The sequence below is a fragment of the Homo sapiens genome, chromosome X, assembly GCF_000001405.40.
Source record: "Homo sapiens chromosome X, GRCh38.p14 Primary Assembly".
NCBI classification, from domain to species: Eukaryota; Metazoa; Chordata; class Mammalia; order Primates; family Hominidae; genus Homo; species Homo sapiens.
In genome coordinates, this window is record NC_000023.11 from 6,919,281 (window position 1) to 6,940,946 (window position 21,666).

Here is a 21,666-nt window from a genome sequence, read left to right on the forward strand (position 1 = left end):
TTTTTCATCTTCTCAAAATTGAACTAGAATGACAATGAATTAAGAAAAACATAAATAAATTTACCAAGAAAAACCCACAGTGAATATTTCAACAGGTATTCAAAAGATGAAAAGCCCTGGAGGGCTGTTATTTGGCATCATAGTTCCAAACTCTAAGCGCTTGCCAAGTGGAGCACTGAAGGGAAAGAAGTCAATTTATCCTGTCAACCCTGAAAAGCCTCTGGACTTTGAGGTTCAAAGCTGTAAAAGGCTGAGAATGAGACACAGGTTGAAAACAGGAGAACGACTTGAGAATCCATAAAAAAGCACAAAGACCCGTAGGTTTCTGATCCAACCCTAACTTCAGAAAGTAGGTGGCCAAAACTGTGATTGTACTGAGGGGATGCTGAATATTTGAAAGAATGTCTGGACCAGCTGGGCCAACAGGGTGAAACCCCATCTCTACTAAAAATACAAAAGTTAGCCGGGCGTGGGAGGCTGAGGCAGGAGAATCGCTTGAACCCAGGAGGCAGAGGTTGCAGTGAGCCAAGATTGAGCCATTGCACTCCAGCCTGGGTGACAGAGCAAGACTCCATCTCAAAAAAAAAAAAAAAAAAAAAAAAAAAAAAAAAAAAAAAGAATGTCTGGAAACCAATGGATCGTGCTTGCATTGAATAAAACAGGAAACAGGATAGTCATGTGATTTAGATGTATTAAGATGAATCCCAGAGAGAGCTGAGTATAACCTCCCTCTGCAGAACACCATGGCCATGGCTCAGGAGGCTGCTTGGGGCAAGGTTTACCTCTCCTAGAATCAATGGGGCAAGGGGCTTTAGAAGTTACCATCTCCTGGAAAGAAAAGACTCCACCCCCTTGCTATCAATAATCGCATCCTTTCAAGCAGTCTTCCCCTTGGAACCTTCAGCTCTAATATTACCATATCCCTCATCTCTGCTTCTGTGAGTCACTCTGAAAAGTCCAGAGCCCTTGGTCATTGGTCATCACCTAGGTTCTTGGTCATTGGTCATCACCTAGGTTCTAGTCCCATTGTACACTGCATTTTCTGATCCTCATCTCTCACTCTTCATCTCTTGATATCCTTGGTCTGAGCTTTCTGAAATTTTAGGTCCATCTCATGCAAAATACCTTTCATCCTCAACTCTTCTGTGCATTCTGTGGAAGGAAAATTATCTTGGGCCCCCAAAATCTCTAAGCTAAAGGAAAATTCAAGCTAGGAACTGCTCAGGGCAAATTTCCCTCCCAGTCTGTTCAAAGTCATCCCTCTGCTCACTGAGGTAGATGCATATTTTGATTGCCTCCTTTGGAAAGGCTTATCAGAAACATAAAAGAATGCAACCTTTTGTCTCTCACCTACCTGTGACTTGGAAGCCCCCCTCTCTGCTTCAAGTTGTCCCCACCTTTCTGGACAAAACCAGTGTACTTCTTACATAAATTGATTGATGTCTCATGTCTCCTTAAAATGTATAAAACCAAACTGTGCCCCGACCACCTTGGGCACACGTCGTCAGGACTTCCTGAGGCTGTGTCATGGACTCACATCTTCAACCTTGACAAAATAAACTTTCTAAATTAACTAAGACCTGTCTCAAATTTTGGGGTTCACAATTCCTCTAACATTCCTCCTCTGTTTAAAACCAGCTCTATCCTTAGGACACAGCTTCCCCTGCAGCCCCCTAAGTAGTGATCACTCTCTTATATACCCCATGGACCACTGGGCCTGAGAGTGGGGTGAGTGTCCTCCTTGTTCCTCAGTAGCATATCTCTCCCACCTCCTGAATAAGTCCTTGGCTTGAGTCACGGGTCATCAGAATATACCATTCATGGCCAGGCACTGTGGCTCACACCTGTAATCTCAGCACTTTGGGAGGCGAGGTGGGAGGATCACTTGAGCTCAGGAGTTCAGGACCGGCCTGGACAACATGTGAGACCCTATTTCTACAAAAAATCAAGAAATTACCCAGGCATGGTGGCACAAACCCCTGGCCCCAGCTACTCAGGAGGCTGAGGCAGGAGGGTCACTTGAGACCTTGGAGGTTGAGGCTGCAGGGAGCCACGATCATGCCACTGCACTCCAGCCTAGGCAACAGAGCAGGACCCTGTCTCAAAAAACAAAAAAAAGAAAAAAAATACCACTCACAACTCTCATTGTTGTTGGTGTCTTTTGACACTCAACAACTCCCTGTTATTCTAATTCACTCACTCCTTAAAAACTATGGCATTCTTAACTCTCATGCATGTATAATTAGATGACTTGTTAATGACTGATGATGTCTCAGTTCTGTGACCTCTGTACCTCAATGGTCTTGTCCTACACACATCTTGGCCACTCTCTCCCATGGCCATACCCTAGACCTCACAATTATCAATTTCTTCTCTTCTTCATAAAGTCAGTTTCAAATATCCCATCCTAGATAACTCCCTCCTAATTTTTCTACCCTCTCTGCCGACTACTCCAAAGTTAACAATCATTTACCCAAAGAGAACCCTCCCTCCATTGGCCCTATCACCTTTCACTGTTTCCCATGGCTCCCATGAACTATTTTTCTTCCTTCTCTTCCTTCAATTGTGTGTTTCCTGACCTATGCCCTCAATTCTCTTTCCTCTTCCCTACTTCCCCGGGCTCATCTGTCAAACCAAACACTTAAATTGTACTGTTCACCTACTCCATGTTTGAAGTGGCTCAGATGAATATGGTTGGAAAAAAACAAATAAGCCAGGCACAGAAAGACAAACATCACATATTCTCACTTATTTGTGGGATCTAAAAGTCAAAACAATTGAACTCATGGACACAGAGAGTAGAAGGATGGATACCAGAAGCTGGGAAGAGTAGGGGGATGCTGGGGGGCAAGTGGGGATGGTTAATAGCTACAAAAAAATAGAAAAAATGAATAAGACCTACTATGTGATAACACAGTAGAATAACTATAATGAATAATAACTGGACTATACATTTTAAAATAACTTAAAGAGTGTAATTGGATTGTTTGTAACTCAGAGGATAAATGCTTGAGCAGATGGACACCCCATTCTCCATGATGTGCTTATTTCACATTTCATGCCTGTATAAAAACATCTCATGTACAACATATATGCATCCACTATATACCCACAAAAATTTTTTAAATTAAAAAATAAATAGATATTTAAAAAACAAACAAACATGCAAACAAGCAAACAAATAGGCAAACAAGATCATGCCGAATGGCTTCATTTTAAATTTGGATCACTACTCCCAAGTAAGTTTTTAATGCCGGCCAGTAAGCATATTAAATTTATCTAGACCTTATGTTTTCCCGCTTTTCTTAATGACTCTTTCTTACTCCTTAATTTTCAGCATCTCCATTCCCATCCTCACTCTCAGCTTACAATGTTGACTTCTGCTCTGACTTCACAGAAAGAAATGGAAAGGTTTAGAAGAGAATGTCCAAAGAATCTCACCACCTCTCTCCATCCACTTGGTTTCATGCTCTGGCAATGTCATCTCTGCCTCTGGAAATACCAGCTTCTCTCTCCTTCTCTACTGGATCCATTCCAAACAGCAAACAACGATGCTATTATTTCTTTCATCTTAAACAAAATAAATACAGAACCCTCTCTTGAGCCCTCTTCATCCTCCAGCTACATCACATGCTTCTGTTCTTGCCACAAAACTCCTTGAAATAATTATCTAAAATCGTGTTGCCACTTTCTTTTCTACCATTTGTCCTGAATCAACCCCCAATCACTTCCCCACCACCATAGTTCTCAAAGTCCTCAGTGACCTCCACATTGGTAAATCCAATGGTTATTTCTCACTCCTCACCTAACTTGATCTCTCAAGAGCATTTGATACAGTGGACTGCTTTCCCTCCTTGATGTCTTTTCTTTTATCTCTCCTGATTTGCCTCCTGCATTTCTGGATGGCCTTTCTCTGTGTGCTTCCTCCTATCCCTCTTAACAGGATGTCATGTGCTCAGTTCTCATGCCTCTTCTCTCTCTACCTACACTTACTTACTAAGTGTCTCATTCAGCCTCACGGTTTTAAATACTACCTATATTCTGATGACTCCAGACAGACACCTCCCCTGAATTTCAAAAATATACAACCAATTCCTATGTGACCTCTGCACATGGATATCTGATTGTCAAGTTGAAGACATATCCAAAACCAAGGTCTTCGTCTCATTCCCAAACCAGCAACTCCTGCAGTCTTCTGTTAGTGCTTTTCCATTTGTTTCTTCCAGTTGTCCAGGCAGAAATCTGCTTGTGATCCTTGGGTCAGTGCTTTCTCCTATAGTCCTCATCTAGTCTCTTGGGAAATCCATCAAGATGTATCCAGAAATCAAGTGACTTCTCAGGAACCCCCAGGACATCGCCCTGGTCTTGGCCAGCACCATGGCTTCCTTGAATTATTGCAAGTGTCTCCTGAGTGGTCTCTGTTTCTACTCTTGCCATCAACTGCCTCTTCTCATCTCTTCACCCCGCTAAAATGTTAAAGACACATCGTGAACCATCTCAGCTCACACCTTCTAGTGGCTCCACGTCTCCTCAAGGTAAAAGCCAAAGGCTTGACTGTGACTCTCAAGGTCATGCACCATCTGGTCCCTCATGAATCCGGGGACACACACTTTGCTACCCACACACTCCCCTTTGCAGTTCAGCCACCCTTTCTCCCTTGCCAGCCCCAAACTCATACCATGTCCATGGAGCCTTCCCACCTTCTCTTGCTGCTGGCTGAGATGTTATCCTGATAACATCCACCTGACTCACACCTTCCATTCCTTCGTCCTCCTGCAAAGTCACCATCTAAGGGAGCCCTTCCCAGACACGTTGTGCAAAATGTCAACCCCAGCCCTGACACTCCATACTCCCTTCTTTGTTGATACGTCCTTCTTAGTACCCATCCCTATCTAACATGCTGTATCTTCTATGTATTTATTACATCTGTTACCTACCTCCCACCTGAGACAGTGAGCCCCAGAATGACATGCATTTTTACTTGTTTTGTTCACTATTGTATCTCTTATGACAAGGAGTTGCTTTATAACTATCTGTTAAGTACCAAAGGAAATAGCTGGGAGAATTGAGGGTAGTTGCTAATGAGAAATAGAACGGGGGTTGAAAGAGGACTGTTTGCATTATTGGCTTTTTAGAGCTACAGGTCGAGTATCCTTTACCTGAAATGCTTGGGACCAGAAGTGTTTCAGATTACGGATTTTGTAATATTTGCATACACATAATGAGATATCTTGGGGATGAGGCCTTGAGTGTAAACATAAAATTCATTTATGTTTCATAGACACCTTATATGCAGAGCCTGAAGTTAATTTCATTTTTCCCTTGCGGGACTCTGGATACACCACATGTTGAGTGGCTGTATTTTGACTGTGACTCCTCCCAGGAGGTCAGATGTGGAGTTTTATAATTGTGATGTCATTTTGTCCTTCAAAAAGCTTTGGAACATTTCAAATTTTGGATTTGAGGATTAGGGATATTCAACCTATATTTGCATTTCTTAAAAAAACAATGCGTTATTTAAATATGAACTAGAGCTATGCAATGTGCCTGAATATCCTTGTTGTTCTTTGTAAGCATTTGGGCATTATACTCATTTGGCCCAATTATTGGGATTTGGCTATGCGCATCTCAGATGCCAGAATGCTCGTGGGAAGACGAGCTGCTGTTATGTGTGAGCATGAGACCAGCTGGTAAACATGATGCCCAAGGAGAACTAAGGTGCACATCTTGCCTTAAAATAAATACAATTTAAGGCCGGGCATGGTGGCTCACGCCTGTAACCCCAGCACTTTGGGAGGCCAAGGCAGGCAGATCACTTGAAATCAGGAGTTCAAGAACAGCCAGGCCAACATAGCAAAACCTTGTCTCTACTAAAAATACAAAAATTAGCTGGGTGTGGTGGTGCACGCCTGTGGTCCCAGCTATTCAGGAGGCTGAGGCAGGAGAATCGCCTGAACCTGGGAGGTGGAGGTTGCAGTGAGGATTCTTCTCTTTCTCTCATATTTTGATCTGCCATAAGCCAGGGATAACATTTCTTCATTTGTGTCTTCCCTCTTCAAAGCCTGTTTAAGCAACAGGTCTCTCCCTGTGCCCCATTCAGTCAGATGTCTCATGATTAGGCAGATGCTGAGAACTGTATCTGCAGTGACAGGGTTTGGTTTTTGAGCAAAAGGAATGGGCAGCAGGAACATCAGTGGATCCTCATGCTTCAAGGTCCCTGGTGTTAATGGAAAAACCAACTCTGAAAAATATTTTAAAGAAGCCTACTCTGAGCCAATAGCAGTGACCACAGCCCAGGAAAAACACAAACCCACGAAGCCTTCAGCAAGTGGTCCCGAGGCAGTCGGATTATAATTTGGTTTTACACATTTTAAGAAGACAGAAGTTACAGGCAAAGACATAAATCAATACATGGGAGGAGGTGTACATTGGTTTAGTCCATAAAGGTGGGATATCTTGAAATGGGAGCTTATAGGTTTATAGGTGAATTCAGAGATGCTTTAATTTGCAGCTGGGTAAAGCAGTAAGGCTCTGTCTAAAACCTGGAGTGAGCAGAAAGGGATGTTTTCTGTTAAGATAAGGATGCTGTGTAGCAAGATTGATGATGGCCTGTAGGGGTGACTTAACTCTTGCCCAGCACAGCCTTAGGTCCTGTTGATAATTTGGTATCTTATTGCCACAAAGAGTCTGTTTTGTCAGTCTTATGATCTGTATTTTAACATGAATGCTGGTCACTTGTGCCTAAGCCCCAAAAGGGAGAGGATATAAGGTGTGTCTGATCCCCCATCACATCATGGCCGGGAACTCAGTTTTTCAGGTTTCTCTGGGATCCCCTTGGCCAAGACAGGGTCCATTCAGTTGGTGGGGGACTTAGGATTCTATTTTTAGTTGACACTGGGTAGGGTCCTGCATAGGACACCATGCTCTTTTCCAAGATGGTACTGTGCGTTAAGACAAAGAAAGTGCTCTTGAGAAAGCCCTGCCAGAGGAAGCCCTCACGAATTCCGCACCCGTAGCTGCCTCTCAGCCTTCTGCTGACAGTCAGACAGGAGTGTACTGTGGAATTAGAGCACCTAAAAATACAGCTGAATAAACACACAATGCAAAACACAAAGGAGGCACGAATTGTGGATACACTTAAATGGGAACAGCAAAACTTAAATTAGAGGTCTGAAAAGCGTGCTCTTTTCTTGGAAGGCGCTGTTCTCCTTTTTCTAATGATGCTAATTCCATGAACACTGAATGTAACCCTTTAAAAGAGAAAAATGAGGCAGCTCCGCACTAATTCAGTTTAATTAATGCCATCCTGTTCTTTAGTCTACAAACAGTTATTGAAATTGCAAGATAGCTATATCTGTCCTTCCTTAACTGCTCTCTGTTCTTTTACAAAACCATTTTATTGTGCATTCAGAGCTACCAAAAATAAAACTAGGATTGTTCCAATAGCATTTCCATGCTTCCTATAGAATGAGCTCACATTACCACTTACTCTTGAGGAGTCTACCAGTGAGCTTGATTTGCTTTGGATAAATGAATCCTCCATCATTTTTTTAAGTGACTGGCACCCTGGTTTTTTTGTTTGTTTGTCTTTTCCACAAATGTTCTTAGCCATGACCTCTAATGGACACAAGGAGACAATTCCTTTTTTTTTTTTTTTTTTTTTTTGAGACTGTGTCTCACTCTGTCCCCCAGGCTGGAGTGCAGTGGCACAATCACGGGTCACTACAGCCTCAAACTCCTAGGCTCAAGCAATCCTCCTGCGTCAGCCTCCTGAGTAGCTGGAACTATGGGTGTGTGCCACCACACCTGGCTAATTTTTTTTTTTGAATTTTTATTAGAGATGATGTCCTAATATGTTACCCAGGCTGGTCTCGAATTCCTGAGCTCAAGCGATCCTCCCACCTTGGCCTCCCAAAGTGCTGGGATTATAGGCATGAGCCATGGTGCCTGGCCAAGAAGACAATTCTTTATAGTGCCTCCAGCTCTAAAAAGTTAAAATTACTATGCTATAGGCATAGAATGAGACATCTACAAAAAGCTACCCCGTGTTTTTAATTAGGTGTTTAGTGAATCACTTTGAAAATTCTGGGAAGTAATTTCCTCTCCTTTAAAGAAAAGAACATTCTTATATTCCTTATCAGATAACGATGCTGTTGAAAGTGGATACACTTATAGCTGGGATCCTCAGTTGTCCCAGTGCTAAGATGCCTATGCAGACATCAACTCAGTTCACATCAGCTCTAACTGCATCTCACTTTGTGGGCACCTGCAGACCAGTTCTTCTCAGGTGCTGTGCCCATAGCACAGAGAGCTTCTTGGGATGTGTAGGGAGCCTTAGCCCCTAAAGGTTCACTGAAAAATCACCGACATGAGGCAGACTGATTAAGAGGAGAAAAGGCATACAGATTAATTTAACGCATATACACAGGAGCCTTCAGAATGAAGGCCCAACTCCCCAATCAGGTCTAGAAGCTTATATACCATCTGAGGTTACAGAAAGAATGGCGACTTGGATCCTGGTGAAACAGGTGGTGGGCTGGGGGAGAAGAGAATTCTATGGAGGGGATTACTAGAGGGAAGGAATGGATCAGGAACAGAGATTAACTTGTAAAGAGTTCTCTTTGGAAGTTAAATGATCCTTAGAGACACTCATCATTCTTGGAAAAGGCAGGTGTGGTCTTCTCTTTTTTTTTTTTTTTTGAGACAGACTGTCATCCAGGCTGGAGTGCAGTGGCATGATTTCGGCTCACTTCAAGTGATTCTCCTGCCTCAGCCTCCCAAGTGGCTGGGATTACAGGTGCACACCACTAGGCGAGCTTATTTTGTGTTTTTAGTAGAGATGGGGTTTTACCATGTTGATCAGGGTGATCTTGAACTCCTGGCCTCAAGTGATCCACCACCCCGGCCTCCCAAAGTGCTGGGATTACAGGTGTGAATCACCGCACCTGGCCACATCTTGGTCTTCTTTTCTGTTATAGACAATGAGATAATTTGGAGGGAAAGAAAAAAACCACTGTTCTCCTTGGTGGGTCTGGATTTTAGGCAGATAAAGGAACTTCAGTTTCAATGGGAGAGACAGGGGTTTGGGGAGGACATCAGAGAGACCTTGAGGCTTCTTCAGCTCAGCGTGTCCAAACGCCAGATTTTGGGCTTTTGGTTTCTGAGCTCTAACAGTAGGAATAGCTTGTGAAATCTCCTTGAGATCTTATGTTTCATTTTTGAAAATTCAAATATTTGTCATTCCACTTTATAATCACATCCCAATATTGGGTATAATATAAAATTAAAATTATAAATTACAATCAAGTGGACACCTTCAAAATGATGTACTATAAATGACTTAGCACTTCCTAATATTGACACTTCAAAAAACAGAGGCCGAGGAGGGTGAATTGCTTGAGCTCAGGAGTTCGAGACCAGCCTGGGTAACATGGTGAGACCCGGTCTCTACCAATAAAACAAAAAAAATTAGCCGGGTGTGGTGTTGCATGCCTCTGGTCCCAGCTACTAGTGAGGCTGAGGTAGGAGGATCTCTTGAGCCGGGGAGGCGGAGGTTGCAGTAAGCCCAGATCGTGCCACCACTGCACTCCAGCCTGGGTGAAAGAGCAAGACCCTGTCTCAAGAAACAAACAAACAAAACCCAGAGCCATAGTTATCCTATCACTTTGTGTGCTCTGGAACACTCTGACGTATGTTAGGGACCTCAGTTTGCAAAGCATGGTCCTAGAAAAACATGATCAGATGTACATAGTTATTCCTGTTCATTGGTATCAATCATGTACAGCACACGCCAGAAACGAGAAGGCAATACCACATTACACAGGAGCTACTTTCTACTAGATTTCCAGATTCAGCAAATAAAAATATGAGATACGCAGTTAAATTTGAATGTCAGATAAACAACTGTCAATGAAAAGAGTCAAACTCTGTAAAATATTTGAAAAGATTTATTCTGAGCTAAATGTGAGTGACCAATGGCTGTGACACAGCCCTCAGTAGATCCTGAGAACAAGGCCCAAGGTGGCCTGGCTACAATTAGGTTTTATACATTTAGGGAAACATAAGGCATCAGTCAATACAAGATGAACATTGGCTCGGTCCAAAAAGATGGGACAACCGGAAGCAAGGGCTTCCAGGTCACAGGTGGTTTTAAAGATTTTCTGGTTAGCAACTGGTTGAAAGAGTTATTGTCTAAAGACCTGGAATCAATAGTAAGGAATGCCTGGGTTATGACAAGGGGTTGTGGAGACCAAGGTTTTCTCATTCAGAGAGAATAGATTGTAAATGTTTCTTATCAGACATAAGGAGCCAATTCTATTGGTAATTCCAAAAGGGAGGAGGGAATCTTGATGCACATCCAGCTCCCCTTTTCTGTCAGGGCCGGAACTAGTTTTTCAGGTTAACTTCGGAATGCCCTTGGTCAAGAGAAGGGGTCCATTCAGATGGCTGAGGGGGCTTAGAATTTTATTTTTGGCTTACACAACAAATAATATTTTATTATACACATGCCCCATATTTACGTGATATTCAAATTTAACTGGGTGCCCTGTGTTTTGTCTAGAAACTCTATGACTCTTAGGGCTTTTCCTGCCCCCAGTCCTGTCTCAATCCTCTTTCCTTTGATGTGATGGGGCTTATCCTTTCATATGATAGGGCTGTGTTACTGAGAATTCACTGCATTACTAAACATCTCCTTCTGCACCAGGCCATGGTTAAGAAGAGAATTTTGTGGTACCCCAAGAGTATAGAGGAGGTGGTGGAAGCAGCACAGGTGCAGGTGGTTGAAAAATAGGATAGGACTTTCCAGGGTCTTCCAGGATGAAGGTGATCCTAGGCTACCTGAGAGAAGACAAAGACAAGGTGGGGGGGTGTTGCTTTGTCAGTGGTGTTTGAACCAGAGTGACTCCACCTTGAACAAGGGCTGGGTAAAATGAGGTTGAGACCTGCTGGGCTGCACTCCCAGGAGGTTAGGCATTCTTAGCCAAAGGATGAGACAGGAGGTCAGCAGGACTGGTGTCACCAGAGACAGATCATAAAGACCCTACTGATAAGACAGGATGCAGTAAAGAAGCTGGTCAAATCCACCAAAACCAAGATAGTGACAAAAGTGACCTCTGGCTGTCCTCGCTGCTCATTATATGCTAATTCAAATGCATTAGTTGCTAAAAGACACTCCCACCAGCACCATGACAATTTACAAATGCCTTGGCAACGTCCTGCAGTTACCCCATATGGTCTAAAAGCGGGAGGAACTCTCAGTTCTGGGAAAACCCCACCCCCTTCCCAGAAAACTCATGAATAATCCACCCCTCATTCAGCAATGATCAAGAAATAACCATAAAAATAGCCAACCAGCAGCCCATGGGGCTGCTCTGCCTATGGAGTAGCCATTCTTTTGTTCCTTTCTTTCTTAATAAACTTGCTTTCACTCTACTCTGCAGACTCACCCCCAGTTCTTTCTCGTGTGAGATTTAAGAACCTTCTCTTGGGGTCTGAATTGGGAGCCCTCTCCAGTGACAATTCCTTTAGATCAAGGTCTGAGCTCTAAATCTCCTGACCTTGCTTTCTTGTTTGTTTCTCCTGGAACTTCTGGTCACTCCTGCCTCAAGTTTCTTAACAAAATAGAGGGCACCCAGTTAAATTTGAATGTCAAAAAAAGTGTTGCATCCTTATACAAAAAAAAAAAAAAAGTTTGTTGTTGTTTACCTGACATTCAAATTTAACTGTGTACCCTATATTTTTATTCGGGTGTGTGATGCTTGGCCGCTGCAGTTATCCTGTGACCTGAAGGATAGAAGTCATGTTCCAAACTCAATAGTAGTCCCAAGAAAGAGAAAGGTTCTGGTTCCATTCCTCAAATGTCTTGTGCCTCTCACACACGTTCCATCTCTGCATTGATTGGAATTATTATTAGCGCCAGGACCTGGGTGTCATTGTTTATTGATTTGGAAGATTCTTGTGTTCCTGGTTTATATAACTGAATGGATGGTGGTCTTGGTCACAGCAACAGAGAATGCTCAAAAAAGAGCCAGACTTGGAATGTCATCAATTTCATTAAATATTTTTTAACTTTTTTATAGAGACGAGGTCTCGCTATGTTGCCCAGGCTGGTCTCAAACTCCTGGCCTCAAGCAGTCCTTCTGCCTTGCCCTTCTAAAGCACTGGGATTATAGGAACAAGCCACCGTGACCAGCTTTGCATTATATTTAAAAGCAAAAGCGTCTAACACGAAGGAAATAATTAGGTAGATTTGTTCTACTCCATAGGAGGGAAGTGTATGTAGCCAATAAAATAATTGCATTTGCTATTTCTGTGTCCGTTCCTAATTGCTGCAGAGCCAGCCAGTCAGTATAAATCAGAAAATTTAAGGAGCAGCGCTCCTGTGTGGGAATCTTGAAACTCAAAGAAGCTCAGCTGAAAGGGAAGGATTCCATGAACCCTTGCACCTGTGGACAGGACCCAGACGACATCCAGACTGCAGTACCGGGAGGACGCAATCCCAAGATAAAAAAGATCAGTCATGTCCCTTTTCGGTTCTTCCCTACTCTATCTATAGTCTTAGCTGCAGAGAGTAGGTTAAAAAAACAAACAAACAACAACAACAAAAGACTTCACTATTTAAAAAACCTCTCTAATGAGGTTTTGAAATGCTAACTTAAAGATGTTTAACTCTTTTGCTGCTTCACACCCAAATGCTTTTAAATCAGTAAAAATTAATTCATCCCTTATCTCAGGAAATATCTTATGCAAGTAGCTTCTTTAATTAAATACTTATAAATAAACGCACAAATATGTGTGTGTGTTTATGTGTGCACCATACATAAGTTAAGTTCGTAAGGCAAACTTACAAAACCCTGCCTGTCTTTGGTATTGGGCTTGGCAACTGCTTTTTAACACAGTTAAAAAGCCGAGCGTTCCTGGCAGGCAGATGACTTGATATGGAGCAGACAGAGGTGGGCTTACCTGTGCTCCGTCATCTGTTACAATCAAGCGTCTGTCGGATGATGGATTGTTCTTGCCGGGAGGGCTTCTCCTCCCATGATTAAACGTGTGAGGCGCGTGTTTCAGCAGTTCCTAATCGTACAGGTGGAAGCACACAGATTTTCCCTTTTCTGGCCCCTTTTTGAAAGTGCATAGCTCATCCATTGTGCTTGGTAACCCCCATGTCTTCATCCTTAAAGAATCCAGTAGCCATAGAGGTGGTGGAGGAGCCATGATGGCCGAACAGGAACAGCTCCGGTCTACAGCTCCCAGCGTGAGCGACGCAGAAGACGGTGATTTCTGCATTTCCATCTGAGGTACCGGGTTCATCTCACTAGGGAGCGCCAGACAGTGGGCGCAGGTCAGTGGGTGCGCGCACCGTGCGCGAGCCGAAGCAGGGCGAGGCATTGCCTCACTTGGGAAGCGCAAGGGGTCAGGGAGTTCCCTTTCCAGGTCAAAGAAAGGGGTGACGGACGCACCTGGAAAATCGGGTCACTCCCACCCGAATACTGCGCTTTTCAGACGGGCTTAAAAAACGGCGCACCACGAGATTATATCCCACACCTGGCTCGGAGGGTCCTACGCCCACGGAGTCTCGCTGATTGCTGGCACAGCAGTCTGAGATCAAACTGCAAGGCGGCAACGAGGCTGGGGGAGGGGCGCCCGCCATTGCCCAGGCTTGCTTAGGTAAACAAAGCAGCCGGGAAGCTCGAACTGGGTGGAGCCCACCACAGCTCAAGGAGGCCTGCCTGCCTCTGTAGGCTCCACCTCTGGGGGCAGGGCACAGACAAACAAAAAGACAGCAGTAACCTCTGCAGACTTAAATGTCCCTGTCTGGCAGCTTTGAAGAGAGCAGTGGTTCTCCCAGCACGCAGCTGGAGATCTGAGAACACGCAGACTGCCTCCTCAAGTGGGTCCCTGACCCCTGACCCCTGACCCCTGACCCCTGAGCAGCCTAACTGGGAGGCACCCCCCAGTAGGGGCAGACTGACACTTCACATGGCCGGGTACTCCTCTGAGACAAAACTTCCAGAGGAATGATCAGACAGCAGCATTCGCGGCTCACGAAAAACCGCTGTTCTGCAAACACCGCTGCGGATACCCAGGCAAACAGGTCTGGAGTGGACCTCTAGCAAACTCCAACAGACCTGCAGCTGAGGGTCCTGTCTGTTAGAAGGAAAACTAACAAACAGAAAGGACATCCACACCAAAAACCCATCTGTACATCACCATCATCAAAGACCAAAAGTAGATAAAACCACAAAGATGGGGAAAAAACAGAACACAAAAACTGGAAACTCTAAAAAGCAGAGCGCCTCTCCTCCAAAGGAACGCAGTTCCTCACCAGCAATGGAACAAAGCTGGATGGAGAATGACTTTGACGAGCTGAGAGAAGAAGGCTTCAGACAATCAAATTACTCTGAGCTACGGGAGGACATTCAAACCAAAGGCAAAGAAGTTGAAAATTTTGAAAAAAATTTAGAAGAATGCATAACTAGAATAACCAATACAGAGAAGTGCTTAAAGGAGCTGATGGAGCTGAAAACCAAGGCTCGAGAACTAGGTGAAGAATGCAGAAGCCCCAGGAGCCGATGCGATCAACTGCAAGAAAGGGTATCAGTGATGGAAGATGAAATGAATGAAATGAAGCGAGAAGGGAAGTTTAGAGAAAAAACAATAAAAAGAAATGAGCAAAGCCTCCAAGAAATATGGGACTATGTGAAAAGACCAAATCTACGTCTGATTGGTGTACCTGAAAGTGACGGGGAGAATGGAACCAAGTTGGAAAACACTCTGCAGGGTATTATCCAGGAGAACTTCCCCAATCTAGCAAGGCAGGCCAACGTTCAGATTCAGGAAATACAGAGAACGCCACAAAGATACTCCTCAAGAAGAGCAAATCCAAGACACATAATTGTCAGATTCACCAAAGTTGAAATGAAGGAAAAAATGTTAAGGGCAGCCAGAGAGAAAGGTTGGGTTACCCACAAAGGGAAGCCCATCAGACTAACAGCGGATCTCTCAGCAGAAACCCTACAAGCCAGAAGAGAGTGGGGGCCAATATTCAACATTCTTAAAGAAAAGAATTTTCAACCCAGAATTTCATATCCAGCCAAACTAAGCTTCATAAGCGAAGGAGAAATAAAATACTTTACAGAAAAGCAAATGCTGAGAGATTTTGTCACCACCAGGCCTGCCCTAAAAGAGCTCCTGAAGGAAGTGCTAAACATGGAAAGGAACAACCGGTACCAGCCGCTGCAAAATCATGCCAAAATGTAAAGACCATCGAGACTAGGAAGAAATTGCATCGACTAACGAGCAAAATAACCAGCTAACATCATAATGACAGGATCAAATTCACACATAACACTATTAACTTTAAATGTAAATGGACTAAATGCTCCAATTAAAAGACACAGACTGGCAAATTGGATAAAGAGTCAAGACCCATCAGTGTGCTGTATTCAGGAAACCCATCTCACGTGCAGAGACACACATAGGCTCAAAATAAAAGGATGGAGGAAGATCTACCAAGCAAATGGAAAACAAAAAAAGGCAGGGGTTGCAATCCTAGTCTCTGATGAAACAGACTTTAAACCAACAAAGATCAAAAGAGACAAAGAAGGCCATTACATAATGGTAAAGGGATCAATTCAACAAGAAGAGCTAACTATCCTAAATATATATGCACCCAATACAGGAGCACCAAGATTCATAAAGCAAGTCCTGAGTGACCTACAAAGAGACTTAGACTCCCACACATTAATAATGGGAGACTTTAACACCCCACTGTCAACATTAGACAAATCAACGAGACAGAAAGTCAACAAGGATACCCAGGAATTGAACTCAGCTCTGCACCAAGCGGACCTAATAGACATCTACAGAACTCTCCACCCCAAATCAACAGAATATACATTTTTTTAAGCACCACACCACACCTATTCCAAAATTGACCACATAGCTGGAAGTAAAGCTCTCCTCAGCAAATGTAAAAGAACAGAAATTATAACAAACTATCTCTCAGACCACAGTGCAATCAAACTAGAACTCAGGATTAAGAATCTCACTCAAAGCCGCTCAACTACATGGAAACTGAACAACCTGCTCCTGAATGACTACTGGGTACATAACGAAATGAAGGCAGAAATAAAGATGTTCTTTGAAACCAACGAGAACAAAGACACAACATACCAGAATCTCTGGGACGCATTCAAAGCAGTGTGTAGAGGGAAATTTATAGCACTAAATGCCCACAAGAGAAAGCAGGAAAGATCCAAAATTGACACCCTAACATCACAATTAAAAGAACTAGAAAAGCAAGAGCAAACACATTCAAAAGCTAGCAGAAGGCAAGAAATAACTAAAATCAGAGCAGAACTGAAGGAAATAGAGACACAAAAAACCCTTCAAAAAATTAATGAATCCAGGAGCTGGTTTTTTGAAAGGATCAACAAAATTGATAGACCGCTAGCAAGACTAATAAAGAAAAAAAGAGAGAAGAATCAAATAGATGCAATAAAAAATGATAAAGGGGATATCACCACCGATCCCACAGAAATACAAACTACCATCAGAGAATACTACAAACACCTCTACGCAAATAAACTAGAAAATCTAGAAGAAATGGATAAATTCCTCGACACATACACTCTCCCAAGACTAAACCAGGAAGAAGTTGAATCTCTGAATAGACCAATAACAGGATCTGAAATTGTGGCAATAATCAATAGATTACCAACCAAAAAGAGTCCAGGACCAGGTGGATTCACAGCCGAATTCTACCAGAGGTACAAGGAGGAACTGATACCATTCCTTCTGAAACTATTCCAATCAATAGAAAAAGAGGGAATCCTCCCTAACTCTTTTTATGAGGCCAGCATCATTCTGATACCAAAGCCAGGCAGAGACACAACAAAAAAAGAGAATTTTAGACCAATATCCTTGATGAACATTGATGCAAAAATCCTCAATAAAATACTGGCAAAACGAATCCAGCAGCACATCAAAAAGCTTATTCACCATGATCAAGTGGGCTTCATCCCTGGGATGCAAGGCTGGTTCAATATACGCAAATCAATAAATGTAATCCAGCATATAAACAGAGCCAAAGACAAAAACCACACGATTATCTCAATAGATGCAGAAAAAGCCTTTGACAAAATTCAACAACCCTTCATGCTAAAAACTCTCAATAAATTAGGTATTGATGGGATGTATTTCAAAATAATAAGAGCTATCTATGACAAACCCACAGCCAATATCATACTGAATGGGCAAAAACTGGAAGCATTCCCTTTGAAAACTGGCACAAGACAGGGATGCCCTCTCTCACCACTCCTATTCAACATAGTGTTGGAAGTTCTGGCCAGGGCAATTAGGCAGGAGAAGGAAATAAAGGGTATTCAATTAGGAAAAGAGGAAGTCAAATTGTCCCTGTTTGCAGACGACATGATTGTATATCTAGAAAACCCCATTGTCTCAGCCCAAAATCTCCTTAAGCTGATAAGCAACTTCAGCAAAGTCTCAGGATACAAAATCAATGTACAAAAATCACAAGCATTCTTATACTCCAACAACAGACAGAGAGCCAAATCATGAGTGAACTCCCATTCACAATTGCTTCAAAGAGAATAAAATACCTAGGAATCCAACTTACAAGGGATGTGAAGGACCTCTTCAAGGAGAACTACAAACCACTGCTCAAGGAAATAAAAGAGGATACAAACAAATGGAAGAACATTCCATGCTCATGAGTAGGAAGAATCAATATCGTGAAAATGGCCATACTGCCCAAGGTAATCTACAGATTCAATGCCATCCCCATCAAGCTACCAATGACTTTCTTCACAGAATTGGAAAAAACTACTTTAAAGTTCATATGGAACCAAAAAAGAGCCCGCATCGCCAAGTCAATCCTAAGCCAAAAGAACAAAGCTGGAGGCATCACACTACCTGACTTCAAACTATACTACAAGGCTACAGTAACCAAAACAGCATGGTACTGGTACCAAAACAGAGATATAGATCAATGGAACAGAACAGAGCCCTCAGAAATAACGCCGCATATCTACAACTATCTGATCTTTGACAAAACTGAGAAAAACAAGCAATGGGGAAAGGATTCCCTATTTAGTAAATGGTGCTGGGAAAACTGGCTAGCCATATGTAGAAAGCTGAAACTGGATCCCTTCCTTACACCTTATACAAAAATCAATTCAAGATGGATTAAAGACTTAAACATTAGACCTAAAACCATAAAAACCCTAGAAGAAAACCTAGGCATTACCATCCAGGACATAGGCATGGGCAAGGACTTCATGTCTAAAACACCAAAAGCAATGGCAACAAAAGACAAAATTGACAAATGGGATCTAATTAAACTAAAGAGCTTCTGCACAGCAAAAGAAACTACCATCAGAGTGAACAGGCAACCTACAAAATGGGAGAAAATTTTTGCAACCTACTCATCTGACAAAGGGCTAATATCCAGAATCTACAATGAACTCAAACAAATTTACAAGAAAAAAACAAACAACCCCATCAAAAAGTGGGCAAAGGACATGAACAGACACTTCTCAAAAGAAGACATTTATGCAGCCAAAAAACACATGAAAAAATGCTCATCATCACTGGCCATCAAAGAAATGCAAATCAAAACCACAATGAGATACCATCTCACACCAGTTAGAATGGCAATCATTAAAAAGTCAGGAAACAACAGGTGCTGGAGAGGATGTGGAGAAATAGGAACACTTTTACACTGTTGGTGGGACTGTAAACTAGTTCAACCATTGTGGAAGTCAGTGTGGCGATTCCTCAGGGATCCAGAACTGGAAATACCATTTGACCCAGCCATCCCATTACTGGGTATATACCCAAAGGACTATAAATCATGCTGCTATAAAGACACATGCACACGTATGTTTATTGCGGCATTATTCACAATAGCAAAGACTTGGAACCAACCCAAATGTCCAACAATGATAGACTGGATTAAGAAAATGTGGCACATATACACCATGGAATACTATGCAGCCATAAAAAATGATGAGTTCATGTCCTTTGTAGGGACATGGATGAAATTGGAAATCATCATTCTCAGTAAACTATCGCAAGAACAAAAAACCAAACACCGCATATTCTCACTCATAGGTGGGAATTGAACAATGAGATCACATGGACACAGGAAGGGGAATATCACACTCTGGGGACTGTTGTGGGGTCGGGGGAGGGGGGAGGGATAGCATCGGGAGATATACCTAATGCTAGATGACGAGTTAGTGGGTGCAGCACACCAGCATGGCACATGTATACATATGTAACTAACCTGCACAATGTGCACATGTACCCTAGAACTTAAATTAAAAAAAAAAAAATCCAGTAGCTGGGAGGATTAAAGTGAGGACTAAATCTCACGAAAGAGAACAAACTGCCTATTTTTGGTCAGGAGTCGCATGAATTATGCCAATTTAAGAACCACCTGCCTAAAGCACATTTTTTTCTTTTTCTTTTCTTTCTTTCTTTTTTTTTTTTTTTTTTGCAATACTAGCCTGGCAGAAGCTAAGAGGTATGAAGGCGAACATGACACCTTTATGCAAATGTCACATTTTACTTTCAAATTCCTAAGCACAATTATCCATTATGTCCCAGATAATTGGTAATAACTTAAAAAAGCAGATAATGGATAAGTATTCTGGTGGACTAATTATAATGTATGCCAAAAATTATCTTTTTACAAACTCATTCTCAACTCTTTGGTTCTTTTGATTTATGCAAACCACGGCTTTTTATCTCTAGGTTTCATTCCTCATTTTAAGAGATCTGGTGAAAACTTTTACCTTTAAGGAAGTGGAGGAAATCCAATTGCTTTTCCAGCTAGACAAGATAGATTTTTATCTTTATCAACAGTCTTGAAAAAGTGTGGAAGGAAAATATGTTACTATCTGTGAGAATCCTTAAAGGAGTCAGAAAAACCATAAAACCATAGCATTAGATAAAGTAATATATTATTTTAGATTTATTATTTATTAGATTTATTATTCATCTATTTAATAATTATTTAATATCTATATTAATATTGTAAATATAATATTTAATGCTATATTAATATTATTAATATATATTATTAATATTATTAATCTATTTAATCTATAATAGATACATTATTTTGTGATTCCTTAAAGTCATCACAAAAACCATGGCATTAGATGAAATAATCTATTATTTTAATAGACATTTCCCAGTGCTTATAAAAAAGACATATTTATTATTACAACTCGGAAATCTTATTCCATGAAAAAAACTCAAGAATTCTGAGGCCAGGTGCAGTGGCTCATGCTTGTAATTCCAGCACTTTGGTAGGCCAAAGCTGGAGGATCACTTGAGCCCAGGAGTTTGAGACCAGCCTGGGGCAACATGGTGAAACCCTGTCTCTACAAAAAATACAAAAAATTAGGTGGGCATGGTGGTCTGCACCTGTAGTTCCAGCTATGAGGGAGGATCATAGCTCATATGATCGCTCAAGCCCAGGAGGGTCAAGGCCTGCACTCCAGCCTGGGTGACAGAGCAAGACTCTGTCTCAAAAAAAAAAAAGAAAAGAAAAGAAAAAGAAGAGAAAAGAAAAAAGAATTCTGGATATTCTGGATAGCTGTTAAAGAAGGAATCCCATAAATATCTTTTCAAAATGAAAAGGCTTGCATATGATCATTTGTGTTTGGTATCATTATTTCTGTTGGCATCATTCCTTCTATACAGTTGTGTTAACTGAAATCAAGAAGTGAAAGACATTCTGAGACAGATATAAGGGTACTGTCCTGGAATACTGAGACTATAACCTTTAGCCTCTCCTCTGTAAAATAAGAATCTTCAAAACTCTTTTTAGGGGTCAGCTTCATTCATAGCTTATACTAGGGGATAGCCAACTATGGCCCATTGGCCAAGCCTGGCCCTCTGCCTGTCTTTGCAAATAAAGTTTTATTGGAACACAGCCACAGACATTGCTTACATATTGCACATGGCTTTTTTCACACTACAATGACGGAATTGAGAAGTGGCGACAAGGACCATATGGCTCACAAAGAGAAAATTATTTAATTTCTGGACACTTAGAGAAAACACTGCCTGACCCCTAGTTTGAGGCAATTACAGGTGTTGATGGGAATCAGCAACATCAGGCCAGAGTGAATGAAGTTGTTCTGCTTCATCACTAGGCAAAATTACAGCCAGCAATTAGAAGCACTCACTCCAGCTTACCAAAATTCAGAGTGATTTTCATGTTGCAGCTGTTCTTGAAGATAGCGAAGTTGGAGGCCTGACTAGAACTCCAGACTTTGGCCCTGTAATTCATCACTCTTTTACTCCTCACCCACTGATTAAGAACTATGATGGAGTACCTGCTGGGAGCCATCTTCCTTGCAGGATTAGGAAACAGAGACACGAGAGTAACAAGTCCCTGCCCTCCTAAGGACCATTGTTTACAAACTATCTGGGTGCTCTTGTTTACAAACTTCCACTCCCATGTCCCTGCACACCACTGTTGACTCCTAAGTGCAGTGGAGCCCCAAGTACAAAGTGTGTCTTTTAGAAACATGAAAATCTGCAAAAAACAGATATTTAGATATGTATTTCAATTTTCACTGAGTGATAAGATCAATTTCAGAGTTGGCAAAAACTGACAAAAAC

At 42.1% G+C, this 21,666-nt stretch overlaps 1 protein-coding gene across 2 annotated transcripts in view, besides 2 other annotated features; it reads right to left on the reverse strand.

Annotated features, from left to right (window-relative positions):
* The window catches only part of PUDP (pseudouridine 5'-phosphatase), a 442,316-nt gene that overhangs the window by 213,443 nt on the left and 207,207 nt on the right, over positions 1-21,666 (reverse strand). The window lies entirely within an intron of this gene.
* Positions 12,634-13,300: an enhancer, noted in NCBI's record as "H3K27ac-H3K4me1 hESC enhancer chrX:6849955-6850621 (GRCh37/hg19 assembly coordinates)". NCBI's record gives its function as "activates a minimal SCP1, AML or CMV promoter by ChIP-STARR-seq in primed H9 embryonic stem cells {active_cell/tissue: H9 hESC(primed)}" and the evidence as "EXISTENCE:reporter gene assay evidence [ECO:0000049][PMID:30033119]".
* Positions 13,301-13,966: an enhancer, noted in NCBI's record as "H3K27ac-H3K4me1 hESC enhancer chrX:6850622-6851287 (GRCh37/hg19 assembly coordinates)". NCBI's record gives its function as "activates a minimal SCP1, AML or CMV promoter by ChIP-STARR-seq in naive and primed H9 embryonic stem cells {active_cell/tissue: H9 hESC(naive and primed)}" and the evidence as "EXISTENCE:reporter gene assay evidence [ECO:0000049][PMID:30033119]".